Source organism: Homo sapiens, chromosome 3, assembly GCF_000001405.40.
Source record: "Homo sapiens chromosome 3, GRCh38.p14 Primary Assembly".
NCBI classification, from domain to species: Eukaryota; Metazoa; Chordata; class Mammalia; order Primates; family Hominidae; genus Homo; species Homo sapiens.
This window is the reverse complement of record NC_000003.12, coordinates 30,725,892-30,745,097: the sequence shown is the minus strand read 5'-3', so window position 1 is coordinate 30,745,097 and position 19,206 is coordinate 30,725,892. Positions and strand designations below refer to the sequence as shown.

Below are 19,206 nucleotides of genomic sequence, written 5' to 3'. Positions count from 1 at the left end.
CAAAAATCTTATGAAATAACTTCTACTGTCTCTATTTTACATATAGGAAAACCAAGAACTTAACCATGTTCTTCAATGGCTCCTGGATAGCTTTTAATTTTAAAACCATATAAACATAGTTGTAGAACATGCTACATTAGGCTTGTTATTTAGATTTCGTTCGCCGCTGTTCGTGTTTCTTATTCTACAACAAGGGTCAGCCTACAGGCAAAACACATCCCATTGTCATTTTTTTGTAAATAAAGTTGTATTGGAACATGGCCACTCTCATTTGTTTTCTATTATTTATGGCTGCTTTCACTTACAACCTGAGTGGTTGCCACAGAAACTGTATGGCCTGCAAAGTCTAAAATATTTACTATGTAGCTTTTTCTTTTCTTTTTGGAGACAGTGTGCCACTCTATTGCCCAGGCTGGAGTGCGGTGGTGTGATCATGGCTCATTGCAGCCTCAAACTCCTGGGCTCAAGCAATCCTCCCGCCTCGGTCTCCCAAGTAGTTGGGACTACAGGCATGAGCCACCATACCCGGCTAATTTTTTTAAAGTTTTTGGTAGAAATGGAGTTTTTTAATGTTGCCCAGGCTGGTCTTGAACTCCTGGTCTTAAATGACCCTCTCCCATCAGCCTCCCAAAGTGCTGAGATTAGGGGTCATCATACTCAGCTACTATCTGGCTCTTCACAAAAAATTTTTGCCATCTCCTGTATTATTGATTGATATTATCTATATGACTAAACCACCTTTATGATGGTAGATACTCCTTGAATAATAGCTTAGAATCATCAGCTTGTTGCCTTGACTTTGCCTAAGGAAGTCTAAATGCATAGTATCTGAATGCAGGGTTTGGGGGCTTTGAATACAGGGAAAATTAATTACAGCTATAACTTACAAACAAACAACAGTTACCAGGATTTCCTCTAAAGTAGAACTCACCTAGATCTAACCAAATATACCTTAGTTTGAGTCATATGAATTAGGTTTCACTTAGTTACACTGCAGCAACAAATAAGCCTCCCTCTCCCCACCCACCTTTCCCAGCCAAATCTCAATGGTTTATAATACAAAGGTGTATTTCTTGATCATGCTTCATGCCCTGGGGGTCAGTCACAGCTCTGCTCTGCTCCATGGTCTTCCCCCCAGCATCCAGACTGATGGAGGAGCCCCTGTCTGGGAAATGCTATTCTTGCACCAAAGGGAAAGGAGAAAGCCTGGCAGAAACACACAATGACTCTTAGAGTTTCAGCTCAGAAGTGGTCACTTAGCAATGGAACAGAGATATGTACTCCTCCTACAGCAGGCCCTGTGTGTGGGTTATGAGGCAAAGGCAAGAAGGACATTTAAATAATGAAGAACAATAATAAAATTTATTTTTAACAGGCAATAACCATAACAATCAGTCTCACATTTACCAACTAGAAAACACCCATGCTCCTAACCATCCACTCAGGGAATCAGAGTGTGTTGTGAATTCTCAGAGTGGTTGTGTTCTGTAAGTACCTCACCAGCCCACTCCTCTGGATGGGCTATTGTTCTGTGTTTTGTTCTAGCAACCCACTTTCCTTGTCTTCCATACGTGTGTTTCTGTTTTTCTTTCTGGGATGAGTGCCTTTCACCTGATGAATAATCAATGGTGAGGTAAAAGCAGGCGCTGTGACAGCTTGTGTTTGCTTCCATCAATTGTTATGCGCTATTCTGAGGCACCTTGGTCACTCCACATATCTCCTTCACTCACTCCACATCTCTGCTTCCTATTTGCTGGAGTTATAAAATGGAAAGTAAAATCATCTAAAAAGCTGCCTGGTAATATAAGTTTCAATTTCCTTTTTAAAGAAAGCCAACCCTTCTGTGAGCTTGAAGATGAAAGTTGCCTGTTAAATGCATATATTTCTGGCTATTCTGCCTTGAGGTCAGTGAAGTAGAACAAGATATTAAAGATACTCTCTCAAACTGGGTCAGAACTGTGTTAAAAGATGAGAGGATTATTTCAGGAAGCCACAAAATAATCCACTCACACAGGTTGAAAAAAATTTATGTAGCATTTTTGGACTCTGAAAAACCATCTGAGGAGATGGATTAGTCAGCTGGTGTAGCATACAAGATCATGCGCAGGTTCTGTTTTTATTGCTCCATTCAGCAGAATGTCATTATTTCTAAAGCTAAGCAGAAGCATGCTTTAAGTAGCAATTTCACCATTTTCTTCCTATCTCTGAACAAGTAAATAAAAAAAGTAATCCAAAATTACTTCTCCCACTTAAATGTAGCAAAAAAAAAATTACTTGAAATATGCTAAAATATATGACCTTCAAAACTAATAGTAGGGCTTAGAGTTTATCTCATGATTATATTATTTTGTTTTCTTGTATGATATTTAGAACTATATATATTAAACATGAAATACCTTCCCCTTAAACTCAGTAACAAATTAGGAACGTCTGGCTTGACCACCATGAGTTAATGATGTTCTGAGAGTACCAGCCAATATAATGACCAGAAAAGACCTGAATTTTATAATATTTAAATGGAGAAGACCCAAATATGTTCATTTTAAATTGTGTGATTGTATATCTATAAAACCTAAGAATATCAAATAAAATACTTTTAGAAATGTACTGCAGTAGATGTACAAAGTTGAATAACTACACAAAAGGTAAGAAACTGGGAGCTAGAAAATGAAAAATTACATCAGAAGGTAGCTTTTTAGTCAGAATAATTTTATCACCATAATAAAAAAAATATATTAAATAACTAAGAGTTAACTTAAATAAAGTATAATATCTATGGAAGAAAACTATAAAAGTTTAAGGCCAAAAAAAAAAACCACTTAATGTTCCAATAACTATTTCTGTTTTACAAATCACTCCAAATGTAGGAGCATTAAGCAGTATTTTATTATGCTCATGGATTTTGTGTGTCAGGAATTCTGACAGAGCACAGAGGGAATATGATGTCTAGAGTCTCATCTGGGAAGACTAAAATAGCTGAAGGTGATTTACTGTCCGGGCCAAAATATTCTGGAAGCGTCTTTACTCACATGTTTGGTGGTTAATGCTGGCCCTTAGCTGGGACCTCATTTGGAGCTGTCAATCAGAGCACCTACAGGAAAGCCTCTCCATGTGGCCTGGAATTCCTCATAGTGGGCTTAGGAGAGTTGAACTTGGGAAAGTCAGTGTACCTGAGAACAATTTGGACAATAGTCCACCTCTCCTGACCTTGCCTTGGAGGCCACACAGGATCTCTTCCACTGCACCCCACTGGTGATTAGTGTGCCACAAGCCCTCTCTCATTCAAGAAATCTCTTTGAGAGAAGTGTCAAACAAAATTGCAGTCATATTTTTTAAATTTACCTCATTTTGAAACTGAAAAACACCATAATTTTAGGTGAGAAGATTAATTTTTCCCTAATTTATACATGGGCTTAATATAATTCTAATCATAATAATTAAATGATTTTTTAAACTCATCAAAAACACTTCTGGATGTCCTCTAGGAGACTAAGTTGGTAGTAACCGGCAAGAACATTTTGAGAGGGGAGTTCTCTAGGAACTGAATATATTATAGAATTATATAAATAAAACAACTTGGATTATTCTGAGAATAGACAGATCAGTCTTACAGAATAGAAGGCTTAGGCCCAAGTTATTTATAGGAATCGAACATGTTTCCAATACACACTGGGGAAAGGCAGGCTTGTTCCATCAGCAGTGTTGAGACTACTGGTTAAATGTGGGGATGTAGGAGTGTATCTCTATGCAAGGTAAAAAATTGAATGTTTAAATGGATTAAAAGTTTAAGTGTCATAATCAAATCAGAAAATAACACACATTTTTGTAATCTTGGCGTGGGCAGAGAGAGCTTAAGTATAACACCACAGTGTTGGAATACACACACACACACACACACACACACACATAATTATATAATATATATAATATTTATACAAACAAACCACCTATCTCACACATATATATATATATATATATATATATACTAGGAATACATATATATAATACAAACACCTATATATATTTATACAAACATTTATATATCTGATATATCAAATATATATTATATAATATATTATATAATATATAATATATATTAATATATAATATATAATATATATTAATATATAATATATAATAAATATATTTGATATATCAAATATAATATATTTGTTTTTTATATATTAGATATATATATGTTTGTTTGTATAAATATAAAAATTGTTCAGGAAATAACTAAAAACAAAGTTAAAAGCAGATAACTTGCAACACGTAAAGTCAGAATTAATGTTCTTAATAATAAAGGGTTTTTCTAAATTTGTAAGAAAAAGATGATCACCCAAAACAAAAATATACAAAGAACATAAATAGGCATTTCACAAAAAGAAGACATTCAAATGGCTGGTAGATAACTTGAAACCCTAGGGGCATATATGGGAGAGTAAGAAAGTAGGAGTTGAATAGTGATTACCTGGAAGAAGCAAAAGAGACCTTTGGGGGGAAGGTGATAGTGTTTTGTTATGTAACTGCTTTAGGACGTACGTAGAGGTTCAATTGTGTGAAATAGTAATTTATTACTATCATTACTTGACTTGAACATAACTTGACGTGTATCACTTACCCTAAACTCTTAAGCAAAAGAAGCTTGGTTTCAGCAGAGCCACATGTTTCTCTAGGACCTTTCTCACAACTTCCCCAACTTGGGAAAGAATGCCAGACTCCAAGAGCAACTTTCTCCCCTTAGACGTGGCATGTAGGAATTCCCTTAGCTGACATCTTGAGGGCTATTTTGCAGTTATTCCCAAAAAAAGATCTTGAATAATAACAAAAATACATTACCAGTCGAATTCAAACTCTGTCTTTTTAAATACCAGAGCCCTTTTTGCCAAGCAAACTCTTACGTAGAACTCTGACATACGAAGCAGGTAAAGCAGAGCTTAGTTTAGGCAGAGGTGGGTCCTGCCTGCTTTGCTTTCTTCTTACCCCTTGTGGGAGCCCCTCTATCCCTCTGTAGCCTGTAGCCCCCTGGACACAATAGAAACATCATGATTTAGAGGAAAGAGTAATTTCCAACCTTAAACACTAGGAGTGTTGAGCAAGCTCCATAAAAAATAATGTGTAACTTGCTTTCATTAATTTTCTCAAAATGTGCAAATCAAAAGCATTTCATTACTCAAGTAAATGGTCTGGATTGCTTTTAAAAACCGTTGGTTAATATTTACAGCATTAATGGTAAAGACTCTTTATTAGTATTTATAAAGATTTCCAGGAGGAACAAACACCTCATACTTAACATTTTCTCAATATTTTTATGAATAATACAGGAATAAGAATTATTTTAAAGTATCCTCATGGTAGCTTTCTTTGATTCAGCGACAGAAGTAAAGTAAGGTACATAACACTTGGGACTTTAAAAGTTCAGGTTTTGCCTCTGAGATTGAAATACCAAGGTGTTTTAGGATGCACTATAGCTGAATAAAGAAGTGCAGTAAAACATGAAAATGACATAAATAGAGATGCAAAGAGAAGGTATAGGGAGAGCTGAGAACACATCCTGTGGTGTGCAACTAACTTTGTATGGATAATGAACAACTGTATTCAAACAAACAAAAAGGTCAAAAAGACAACTTAGACTTCAGTTTACTCCTGAAGCAAATAATCAGTGGAAAAAACCTATAAACAAGATAAGATACAGGTGCATGGGTGCAGGCAGGTGGGCACAGGCAGGTGGGGGCAGGTAGATAGTCACACAGGAGGATGGGCACAGGAAGGAGGGTGCAGGATGGCGAATACAGGAATCTCACCAAGGCATAATTGGAATGTCTCGGCAGCCTGTATAGAACAAGATGTCTCTTAGGTCAAAGCAGCATAACGCCATGGGCTCCCTTCTTTTTTCATCCCCTGCCTTGTCAGGCCCCTGCATCTACTATAAAATCAGTAATTCTGTAATTCAGGAAGCTAGGCCTCCCAAGCCTGATATGCAGGTTCTACAATGTAAAATTATTGCTGTGCCAACACTGGGGCCGCTTCCCACATCTGTGCCTGTGCTGCTAGGTAGGAGTTTTGCCTTTATGCCCAGAAGAGCCTCGTTGGCTGTCAGTGGCTTGTTAGAGTGGAATAAATCAAAAGAGAAAATTGTAGCTGCTAATTTCCCAATGCCAAATATTGAAAAGTAATAGAATTCTCAGAGAAAGTTGCCCTGAGAAAACCCGTGAGAAAATGAATCATAATTTTCATCTTCTATAGAGTGTATTTCAGGTGCTTCTCATCTCACTAAGTGTGTGGGTAAGGTGTGAATGTGACATCTGTGTGGCTAAAAACTCATGAATATGACCCACTTATTGTAATAGGCAGTAGTGCCGAAACTAAAGCATCGTATGCCTGCTGAAATGGCCAGACACAATATTCAGAAATATTGGACCACTGCCCATAGAACCTAAAGAAGAACCTGGGATTGTACTCATTCTCTCCTCTCAGATGGAGTGATACTCATTGAATATGTTATGAATCCTTGGAAAACAACATGAACATACCTTTAAGCACTGAAGATCCCATTTACTTTGCTCTGGGCCAAAGCAAGGTTAATGACTCCCGAGAAAAACTTAAAGGTCTCAGGATATGTCAAGAAAAAGTGTAGAGATGTCGGTGGGAATTATGGGGCTCCTGAGAAGTGTTTCTCAACAGAGGCACTACTGGCATTTTGGATAACATGATTCTTCCTTGGGCAGATTTATTTTCAGCATTGTGAGGTGTTTGGCACCCTTAACCATGAGACACTAACTGCAAGTAGCACTCCACAGTCATTGCAACCATCCAAAATGCTTTGCCATGATTCCAAATGCCCCAAGGGAGTTGGTAGCACCTCTGGTAGAGAGCTACTGAATAACTGCATTTAGGGAGCAGTACAGGGATCTCCCAACATAGGCAGACATTTGGGAGTTGGCCCACAACAGTTACTCAGGAGCTATTAGCTCAGGTGGCTGCTGAGACACAACTGGGTATTAAGCTTTTGCTTTATAGAGTGTATAAAATGTTTATTGTGTCCATTGTTCAGCTAAAGCTTTCAGTTCAGTTTCGTTTGTTTTTATGACTGTTCATTTCAGCTGCCTTGAATATATGACTGACATTAGGTTTATTGGAAGTGCTGTCATCATTGTCACTATGTTGTAAACACCAAATGTGAAGCTCACTGTGTTTTTCTGGCTTTTGGGGTTTCTAAACTCTTTGTTTCTGTAGCTTTGCTCATCTGTATTGGAAAGAACATGAATGAGGCAGTTCTTTTATTTTGCGCATGTCTGATTTTCAGATATACTCAGGAGGAAAATAAGGGTAAAATTCATATTTGAAAAAGGTATGTCCAATCAAAGTATGGCTTTTTTCTTCATATTCTGCCAAGCTAAAATGATCTCTTGGATGCACATGATTTCATGGGCTATAGACCACCAATTTTACATAATTTAAACTTGAGAGACTCATACTAATGCATTTTACCTCTAAATTATGGATTGGGGAGGTATCAGGGGAAATGAGTAAGGTTGTATGAAGGAGTAAGAGAAGAATTAGATAGGTTTAAAAATGGCAGAAAATATATTAGAAGAGAAAAATTGATTCTTTGAGCAATCAAAACTAAGAGGCTCATTGTTTCCTGGGCCATGGTTAAGTGTTTTAAACACTTTATTAGATTTTATGATTAACAAAAAAGTTGGCTAACAACTTCTTTGAAGGTCACTGGTTTGTTTTATTACAAAATCGACATAAGCAATGCGAGAGGAAATTCTCAATTTCCTCTCCCCTCTTCTGTCAAAATTGCTTTTCCTTTACTAAACTCCTCTTACCTCCAACCTCACCTTTGCCTCTCCCAAAGTCCTAAGTAAGAGATCATCATTCACCAAACTTACATCATGAAAAAGAGCATTTGGGTGGCCTGGTAAATATACAGACCACTAGGCTTATTCGACTGAAATTCAAATTCAGCTGCTCTGATTGGGGCCTGAATCTAGGTGATTTGTATTTTCTTGTACGTTTGGGACATACCAAATAGTATTCTTCAACCTTTCTTTGATAAAGACATAAGTGACAAGAAAGCACAAGGAGACTGCACAATGCTGGAAATAAGCTCATGAATTTTAAGTACATGGCCTTTTCATGGGTCCAAGAAAAAGTAACTTTTTTTACTTTTAAAATGTTTTTGTATTCTAACAACTTATGCAACAGATAGAAATTTCTAGAATATAATAAAAACTCATCCCTGCCCACAATAAATTTTAGTGGAAAACTTCCCTCCAAAAAATCTGCCAAGATTATCAATGACTGTGTTACTTTGTAAAGGAAAAATGTAAGTTGACTTTATCAACGTTTGAAAAAATCCTGGAACTTAAATGGAAGATTAATGGCATACATGAGTTGCAATATTTAATTTCTGAAACTTCAAACTTGCAGCCTGTCTCATAAATATTTAAATCCAGTTTAGACACTTCGGGGAGAAAATAAATTATTTCATGTTTTTCATAGCACTTGCAAATGTTCATGTCTCAAGAGATAATAATGAAATAATGTAATAAAAGTCCAAGCGGGAGTGTAAATTGATTAAATACAAATTTATTTTAAGAAATAAATAATATTAGTTCCTATTAGTGAGTGCCTAGTATGCCAAGCACTATGCTTATTGTGTTCTCATTATTTCATTTAGTCCACATAAGGACCCTGCAAAGGATTATCGGCTCTGAATGGAAGAGAAATATGATTCCCAGAGGAGTTAAATATTGGCCCAAAGTCACAGAGAATCTCAGGAATTAGGTCACAAGTCAGTCTAAGCTAGTCTGTTGGTCTGTGTATGGTCGGTCTAATCCATAAAGTTTATCATCTGAACTGGGACACTTATGGCCATGAAAAGGGGTGTTATTGATAATTACAGGAAAACATGTATAAAATGGGTGTCTCCTGAGCAAACTAGATATTTGATCACACTAGTGTGAACAGAGCTTGTTTATTTAATCATCAGGCAAAATAAACATTGAGAGCATGGAATTCAATAGGGCCACATTAAAATACTTGCTAGTTTTAAAAATGGATCCAAAATGTAAAAGGAAAACTGAAAAACAAACATAATGAAAGATTATGTTAATTTAGTCCATCACAATTCAACTGAAATCTTCTATGATTGCATATGAATTATATTTAATAAGTATGTTGGGTACATTTAAATATGTTCAATCTGATGTGTGGTAGAGCCCCCAAAATCTTTGAGCCATGCAGTTCCCATTATTCCACTCAGCCCACCAGGAAGAAAAGCTTCAAGTTCCACCATGTTCAAAATGCCTTCTTCCTTTGCACCCAAGAGTGCAAAGGCCCAGCTTCGAACAGAATTTATTGTCTGCTGGTGTTTATATACCCACCGCCATGACACAGTGTTCATCACTCACCAAAATTCCCTAGGACTGACCCTTTGTAGTCAACCCTTCCCCTCAGCCCAAGTCCTGGCAACCACTCATCTCTTCTCTAGCCATTTGATTTTGCCATTTCCAGAATGCCACATAAATGGAAACATATAGAAGGCAGCCTTTGAGTCTGGCTTCTTTCTGTTAGCATAATCTATTGGAGATTCTTCTATGTTGTGTTGGTAGTTTATTCCCTTTAATTGCTGAGTAGTATTCCATTGTATAGGTATACCACAGTTTTGTTTATCCATTCTGTACTTGAAGTACATTTGTGTTGCTTTGAATAAAGTTGCTGTAAACATTCACATTTCTTTTTTCATGAAGACTATACAGCCAAAACACCAATGTAAAGAAGAAGAAGAAAATAGAGTGAATGATTTCATTCGATTTGGCATTTTTAAGAAAAATGTTCTAAATTTTTCATTAACAAACAATTGCCGTAGAAGGTTAAATTGTATAGTGTGACCCCTTCTACACAATGCAATGGGAGATTTAGTTTTCTTTACTGCATGGATCAAGTAGCTTTCAAAAAGGGCAGCACCCTTGCTATTTTTCTATTCCAGAAGGAAAATGTGTAACTTGATGAAACAACAGAGAAATCAGATCATTTTACCTAAGACTAAATCAGGAAGAAAAACAACAACAACAAAGTAGAGAGATTTAGATGGTACCTGAACACAAACTAAGAAGGCTATTATTTTCCCCTCTTTACATTGTCAGGTGCTCTAAGAAACATGAAGGTGCTAAAGTACTTGTCTGTCAAGTACTGGTTTCTTCCTTAATGGGGAGCAAAATTGACTATATGATGAAAGATAATCAAAATTTCTGCAGTTTATGGCTATGGACAAAAGCAAGCTGTGTTGGGAGGGCAAATGTCTGGTATGTAAGATGTCTCATTTGGGAGAAGAGACAAATTACTCAGACATATTTGGAAATACAAAGAAAAGCTTCTATATTGTGGGTTAGCAATTTTTTTTATTTGGTGAAACTATCCGTTTAATACATTTTAAAGATGTAAAGCTAACCATTACCACAAAAATTTTTTTATATAAGACTAAAACAACCACTTTCTTTTTTGCACTATCATATGTTTGGACGATAAGGAAATGCTTTCTGTCAACAGCTGTTCATTTAGTAACAACCTGCCTGGCTAACATGGAGGTTACACACTAGAGGATATATATTTAGCTGAATCCAAAGCCCATTTCAGCTCTACATGTTGTGAGCTGCACGTGTAAAGGAAAATCCAGTTCATATTTACAGGCAGAATAATTCAGTTCATATTTATGGTCAGATATGTAGTTCAGAGATAAGAATATTCATTAGGTTTTAAGAAGTATTTGTATGAGACATATTGTTGAGCTCTTTCATCACCAGAAACAGATGAAATCCACTTTCCACTGAAGAATATACTTAAACAAAAATTGAAACTAAAAGGCAAACAGAGATGTAAATCGATGTGAGACTTTGTGATCTAACATGGTTCTGAAGACCTTAAATTCACTGGCAACCATAATGCTTTAGTTATGGAGATAAATACCAGAAAAATTAATAAAGCAAATAAAAGAATTTCATGCTTTCTCACATGTCTAACTTTTCACATCTGCAGAAGCTGGCATTCAAGACTCTCTAGGTTGGCTTTTCTCAGATGGTTAATCAGCCTTCAGCTTTTGAGGACTGTGGCTAATTTCTCCTGAGTACAGTGAGACAGGAAAAACTCTGCCTTCTAGATAGCCACTGCATTGGAGCACCCCCTCAGAAGGGGGAGGCACGGGGAAAGCCCATCAAAGTCTGAATTGTCTTGACATGTTAATACTTCTCTTGGACTGAAATCCTTCCACTTAAGCTCTCCCCTTGATGCTGTTCATGCCCTGAATTCTGGCCCCTGCCTTGATCCGTGGTGTATCTCCACCTGGCTTCAGAAAATCTAAGATGACCCCAAACTACAAAAAAAGAAAGAAAGAAGAGAAAGCAAGCAAGCAATCAAGAGAGGGAGAGAGGGAAGGAGGGAGGGAGGGAAGGAGGAAGGAAGGAAGGAAGGAAGGAAGGAAGGAAGGAAGGAAGGAAGGAAGGAGAAAAGGAAAAGAAAAGAAAAGAGATGACTTTACAGGGGAGGGAGGTATGTAAGTCTCAGTGATAGTTTTGGGTGCCAGATACAAAGTATGAACATTTCATGCCAATTTTTTCCATGAACTAGATTTCAATATCCCACTCAGCAGAACTCTCCTCAAGTTGACATAGAAAGTGGGACACATTGGGAACCCAGATTACGTGGGAGGAAAGTATAAAGCAAATTAGTTTTTGTGATTGTTCCAGAAAAACTATACTGGAAGAAAGCCACAGCAGCAATCCCAACCCATCTGTGTCACCAGTCTGCAATAAGAAATTTATGGAAATCCACAGTTTCCATTTAGAAACTTTTATAGCAACCTTAACAGATTAGCTTTACTATTGAACTTAAAAATAAACAAAATTGGGCTTGTATTTTTATTTCATTTTGCTAGTAATTGATTTTTATTGTATTTTACTAAAGTATTAGTTTATAATGCATTGAAAAAAATAAAACTGATCCTTCCCCACAGATAGTTTGAAAAACACTTTGTATTTTATTACTTTTTTTTAAGACAGAGTCTCACTCCATCACCCGGGTTGGAATGCAGTGGAGTGATCTTGGCTCACCACAACCCCTGCGTCCCGTGCCGCAGCCTCCCTAGTAGTTGGGATTACAAAGAAGCAGCACCTCACCCAGCTAATTTTTGTATTTTTAGTAGAGACAGATTTCACCATTTTGCTCAGGCTGGTCTCAAACTCCTGGCCTCAAGTGATCTGCCCGCCTTGGCGTCCCAAAGTACTGAGATTACAGGCGTGAGCAACCATGCCCGACCCTGAAAAACACTTTGTATTTTGAAAAACTGTTCTTGTTAACACTGAGTATATAACAAATTCTTAAAAAGAAATGTCATTTTATGGAAATTATCATTTTATTTTAATCAAAGGCAATAATGATGCCTGGTCAGAAGCTTTTTATCGAATTGCCCTGCTTGGTCAGAAAGAAAGTCATTTTATTTTATTTTTCCTTGGGTTTAAGCAACTTTTAAATATCAAATCCTATTTGGTGCTACAGCGATGTGCAACGAGACTCTATTTAAATGACTAAATCACTGATGGAACATAACTCAGGGGTAGGGAGAGACAAATTCCACAGAAATGTGTACATTAAGTCACCGTGTATCCAAATAGAAATGTCAGAATCTTCCTCCACTTAAGATGCAGGGACCAGTGCACTGAGGCACAAGAAAAGAATTTGATTTACAATTTGAAGAAAAAACAGCAGAAAAATAATTGAGAGCTGGAAAGCAATCTCACTCCTGCCAAATTGCTTTCCTCTATGCGCGCCCCATTTAGGGGTGGTATCTGGATACCTACATTTAGTTCATGCATATTTTCCTTCCCCTGTGACCATGCCATCCTGTCAGATTAGGACTGTCTCTGCTGTGATCAGCAAAAAGGAATATCCAAATTACCTAGCATTGGATTATGCCTGGAGCTTCATAAATAAAAAATGGTTGATTTTAAGTGCAAAGGTGATAAGCTGACTGTTAGTGAGAACGTGCTTGGTCCCTAAATTGCCAAAACATGAATTCCTTTCAAATAAGCTTTAATTTGAATTTATGGGAATCAGACAAGTGAGAGGACATTGCAAATTGTAAAGAACTGGTAAAATACTTGTTAAAAACAACAACTACTACTACCAGCAGAATAGTTTGTGATAAAGATTTGATGAATATCAGCTTTGATGTTATTACTTTCTTTCCCGCGAAGTATTCATAGACAAGGGAGACCTTCCTTTTTTACCTAGTAGTAACTGCCTGTAGGAATTAATCTTATAGTTCATAGACTCATAAATAAAAATGTGTTGTACTGTTAAACCCTTGCTTAGCTAGTTCTCTGAGTCATATATTTAGTTATGTCTTTATAATCTCAGAAAGTCAGTAACAAAATTTGTCCTAGAAGTTTGGTTTTTATTCCCTGCGTTTTGCCCATGGAAGTACAGTCATGCGCTTTACACAAGAGCAAGAATTTAAACATCCAAAGTATCTTTATATTAAAACATCTGAGGTGCCCTCTTCCTTTACCTTTCTTGTTCACGTTAGAAAGTATTTCTGGCTTCCTCACAAGAAATACAAACGTGACAGATTCATTTTGATAATTGCCTCATGTGAGCCTCAGATATATTATGTACTGGAATCAAAATTCTAATGCTCTCCAAAGATAAGGCATAAAATACCATTTTGGGAGAAAAAATGGAAGTATTGAAAAGTAAACAGGAATACACTATGCAAATTAGGCCTGAGCCAAGAGCATGCCTGTTTTACATTTAAAATTGGCTACAAGCCAGAGCCAGTTATACCCTGGGTACCTGGAGGACGAAGGAGAGGAACATGAAGAGAATTTTGATTTCAAAAACAAGAACCACAGAACCGCAAGCTGTAAGCTCTAAAACTGATAGTCTGTGGCCCTTCTAGCTAGACATTTGGTCCATGTAAACCAGGTCTTCCCAATCTTGATTCAGCACTGGCACTACTGTTGTCTTTTTCTCACAGTTTGCATTCAGAAAGCCACTTGTTCTTTGAATTAAAAACAAGTGTACTTTTATGATGAACCTAAGTCAAAGCGTGGTTCTCCATTGCCCTGTGGCCAGAGAGATTTTAAAAGCAGTACAATATGGTGGGTCAGAGGTTTAAATTATATGTGAGTGTGTATATTAACATGTGCATATATGCACAGGCACACACACACACACATGCTTATGCACGCAGACCCATTTATATCCACATATGCACGAGAAGCCCTCCTACCTAAGGTGAGGAGGATTAGTCAGGTAAAGCAAATAATTCTAGAAAATAATGTGATACATACATAATGTGAGCATTTTCCCATTTAATATTTGTATCTTTATATTTAAATTTTTAATGTTATATTTGTATATCAGTGTACATTTATGTTACCATCTTTTGATGGAAAGGTTTTTTCCACCTAGTGAAGATTTCCAAATGCTTTTTATAAACAAGTGAAACTTTTCTTAAGTAGAGGTCTGATGATGAGAGGGCCCTCCACTGTTCTTGCATAAACTACATTCTTCAGGAATCATCTGTCTTATGCAGCTCGGGTTTCTTCAGGTGAAGTAAGTACTCAGACACCTGTGTAGCGATCTCCGTGCAGAATCAGTCTGGATTCTCAAAAGCTTTTACAGTTCTCTTGCCTAGTGTGATCACAATGATGTTTAGCCATCCCCCTTTATCTCTTCTTTCCAAAGGACTCAACTTAGTTTTTACAAAAATCACTTTTTTTGGCACTCATCTATCTTTGTTTTACATATTTTTTTACTAGATTTTAGAATTACTACTTGCATACATGGATTTGGAAGAAAACTCAACCAATGCATACAAATTCATGGGTTTGAAGCAGATATGTATAAGCATAGTAGAGAGTTACTTCCTAGCTTCTGGCTTCCAGCATCAACTGGACATTTGCCACTCTTTTCAAGTGAATGCAGGCTGTTGTTTAGTTACATTTTTCTAATCTCTAGAAAGCTCAGAATAAAATGTGTCACATATATTTAGAAGTTTGTAGAACCTGATGGCCCATGCTTTTTTCACTAACTTGACCTCTAACATCACCTTTTCTACATTTTTTCTTTTACACTCATATATTTTCTTTTCATATCTTGTGATAATGTAAGAAACTTCCAGTTTTTTGCTAGAATGGCAATGTGATTTTCCTGAATAGGTGTTTGTTTTGTTATTGCAAGCACTGTGTAGTCCATGTTTTGCAAGACTTATATTCTAAAATTAGTACATGTGGAAAAAAAAGTGTTGAGTTAAAATTAACCTTGAACATCCTTTGAGAAGGCTCTGTGGTTAAGTTCAACACATAATATCTTCAGAGGTCTAAAACACCCAATTTTTTCATCAGCTTTGGAACAGATCAAGATTGTGTTGAGTGTCAGATGAAGTCATTTGACTTGCTGACAAAATGTGGGTATGTTCAAAAACTGGGCTGGTGTGGGATTATCACATTACGAGAGAGGGAGACTCGTGGGAACCCAGATTCATGCCCCTCACCTAAGGAGTTTAAAAGCACACTCTGCCTGGTGTTCTTTCTATATGTACTCCTCCCTTCTGGAGGAGTAAGTCTCATCTTCCTGAGAAGGCAAGGATAGAAACTCATTATATTCCCTTTCCACATATTCACATAGGACACACTCAAAAAGTTTTCAGAGTTAAAATAAAATTCAAGTGGAAAAACTTTGCTTGTATTTCCAAGACAGTAAAAATGCATTCTTAATATTTTAACTCAGTGTATCAAAAATGAACTTCACTATTTTAAAAGTTTACAACCTAGCTCTTTGGTGGCCATACTACTGATTAGAAAATGGACTGATTTTCCCATGTGGTTCTTAAATTAGACTAGTTTCTTCAAACATTAAACTTTTAGAAAAATCTGTGTATCTGGATTATCAGGGCCTGTACTTCTCATGTCAGCTATAGATCTTTAAAATATGTGCTTCCTAATTTTATTACCACATTTACATCTCTTAATAAGAGACAGGGTGTTTATATTTCATATATGAGAATAATATCTAACTTTCTTTTTTTCTAGGATGAAAAATACATGTTCTATTAATAAATTAATAAACTTAGGCTTCAAAATAGAACTGTACATAATATCCATATTTGTTTTTTCTTGGTAGACAACTGGAAGGGTTTCCTTCTTTTCCATCTATGACTAATTTTCTTTATTCAAGATACCTGAACTGGGGTGTTTTTTAGTTAAGACAAATTTGAGAATGAGACTGTAATCCCTGTGGACACCTGATTTGTTTTTAATGAGGCAGCATTGAATAATGATTTACACTTAAGAGTATGGGCTTAGGGAGAAAATGCCTGGGACCTTGAGATACTGATTTACTCGCCATGTACCTGTTTTCTCGACCATAAATGGGCACATTAGTAGCATCTTCCTCACTGTTATTGTGAAGATTAATTAATATGTCTAAAGCACTTGAATCAGTACTCATGAGTCCTCCATAAATTATTATTATTATTAGTGTCAACCTTGTGTGAATGAGAATGGGATCCAAACCAGTGGATGCCCAGTAAATGTCCAATGGCTGGTGAAAATGCTATTGAAATGCCTTGATGTTCTGGTCTTTCACCCCTCTCCCCTTTTCTCCCCACACAGGTGGCCCCAGCCATTAAGGAGAGGATGATGAAGAAGGGAAGCTTGATGCTGGGCTACCAGCCGCACCGGGGAAAGGTCAACTTCTTCCGCCAGGTGGTGATCAGCCCTCAAGTGAGCCGGGAGGACATGGACTTCCTCCTGGATGAGATAGACTTACTGGGTAAAGACATGTAGCTGTGGCTTTGGTCCCCCAGAGGCATAGATCCTATCCTGGGAGAGTTTAGATCCAGAACATCTTGGAGATACACAGTAGATTGCAGCCCTTCTGATGAGAAATAGGGAATACTCCCAGTCCAGGCCCAGCAAAACCAAAATGCTAAGCAATGAATATTAAGGACTCTCTAGCTGCCTGGGCATTACTGTTGCTAAAAGAAGAAAGTTTAAAAAAAAAAATGATTTTCTCAAGGAATGCCCCTGGAACACAGCTCTGAAGAGAGTTTAGTAAGTACCATGTAGGTTCTGGATTCTAAGCTTACATTGCTCTTTAAAGAACTTATAAACTAACGGTTTAAAGCAGTGGTTCTCAAAGTGTGGTCCCTGGACTATCAGCATCAAAGCATCACCTGGGAACTTGCTAAAAATGCAGATTCTCAGGCTTTCTCTAGACCAACTGGATCAGAAGCTCTGGGGGTGAGGCCCAGTATTCTGTGTTTTAACAAGCCCGTCAGGGAATTCTGATGCACAGTAAAATCCGAGAAACACTGGTTTAAGAAAAACCTTGTAATGATCGAATACCCACTCTGATGTTTTGCCAGCAAAGGGATATCTAATATTTCAGAAGCCTCTGAGCCAGTCTTTGAAAAAATACAACTATGGCATCTGCAGCACAAATATTTAAGGACATCAGAAGCATGTCAAAGCTATTTTTAAAGAGAGAAACTGTATAAGATGTTTACTTCATAGAGATTTATGTTTTATGCAGGCTGAATGTTTATCTCAAAAGTTAAAATTATCCATTCTCAAAAGTTAAAATTATATATATATATATATATACACACACACACATATATATATATATATAATTCAAAGCACAATAATTGAAAGCACAATAATTGACAGAAAAATACAGGTTCTATTAATAAATTAATAAACTGTTGGTCTTCAAAATAGAAATGCATGTAATATCCATATTAGTTTTTTCTTGGTAGACAACTGGAAGGTTTTCTTTTTTTTCGTCTATGACTAATTTTCTTTATTCAAGATACCTGAACTGGGGTGCTTTTTAAGAAAAATTTGGGAAATATATATGTTTCTGTGATATACATATATACATATATATGTATATATATACACACACATACATATGTGTGTGTATAGTATATATATATATACACACATATATGTTTCTGTGTTCCTCTTTTAGCTTGAGGGGCTTGTTTATTATCTTGCTCTGTGCCTCATAGGGAATAAACACAATGAAGTCCAGGGTTGTACAACATTCCCTTTCCTAAGCTTTGAAATGTCAGTATAGATTATTAAGTGGTTTATATTACAGAATCTGGGATTCAGCAGACTTTCAGTGTAAATGCTTCCTCCATTTCTCCTGAGAGTGGGTGATTTTAATTCTATCTCTGACCCTGGTCCTAGGTTTCTAGGAGAGTTTTGTTTAACTAAGAAATTGACAGAATTCATAGGTGTGGGTGTAGAGTTCACCAAGATAAGATTATGAATATAATTAAAGGTCTGCATTAAAAGGTGAATGATTGAAGAGTGTTAAAGCATTAGACTTAGCACATTCAATAACCTTTTCGTACTCCATTGTTAACCAATGTCATTTAAATTTTGAGTACTATTTGCTTTTATTGCTTATTTTCATTTTAGTGTGCACAGTTTCTCGGTATCTCTATTGGTCAAAGAATATTAAATCTGTCTCTGAATTACTTCAAATTCTCAGGTGAAACCTATTGGTGTGTGTGTGTGTGTGTGTGTGTTTATTTTGCATTTCTTGTTGCCTTTTTGTTTTAATGTCTACATAAAATATTTCTAAAATTGATGTTTGTAACAATTTGGGTTTCATGAAACAAAAAGGAACATTACTATACTTAGTGTTGTTGACTTTTCTTTTCCTGTCATCTCCTCTTTACTGGATTGTACCAATACATTTTAGAAGTGAACTGGACTTGGTTGGCATTTTAGTTTAATGACTGAAAAAGTAGGTTGAAAGCTCTCTGTATTTTAGTTAACACCTTGAATAAAATGGAAAAAGCAGTTATAGCAAAGAGTGGACTCTCTTGTTTAGTCTTTCTCAATTACTGGGTAAGCCATGGGTATCTCAGCCACAGTTCAACTCCTGCTGTGCCTTTTTACGAGAGAGGGCAGCTCCTTGATCAATGTAAAAAAAAAACTGCTGCCAGAAATTTTGAAAATTTCATTATTTTTTCTTGAAATATTCAGACATACCACACTCAATCAGGTATTTGACTAAGTGGTCAAAAATAATTTTTTGATAAAAGTATGATTATAATGCATTTATTCTTTCATTAAAACATTTATAGTGTGCCTGCTATGTTCTAGGCAATTATCT

General features: G+C 36.4%; 1 protein-coding gene across 2 annotated transcripts in view; it reads left to right on the top strand.

Annotated features, from left to right (window-relative positions):
• The window catches only part of GADL1 (glutamate decarboxylase like 1), a 168,465-nt gene extending 149,564 nt beyond the window's left edge, over positions 1–18,901 (top strand). For both annotated transcript variants that reach the window (NM_207359.3, XM_017006297.2), the window contains exon 15: positions 16,683–18,901. In NM_207359.3, coding sequence (NP_997242.2) covers positions 16,683–16,856 — 174 coding nt within the window. In that variant the 3' untranslated portion in view covers positions 16,857–18,901. The remainder of the gene's footprint in view (positions 1–16,682) is intronic.
• The last annotated feature ends 305 nt before the right edge of the window (positions 18,902–19,206 follow it).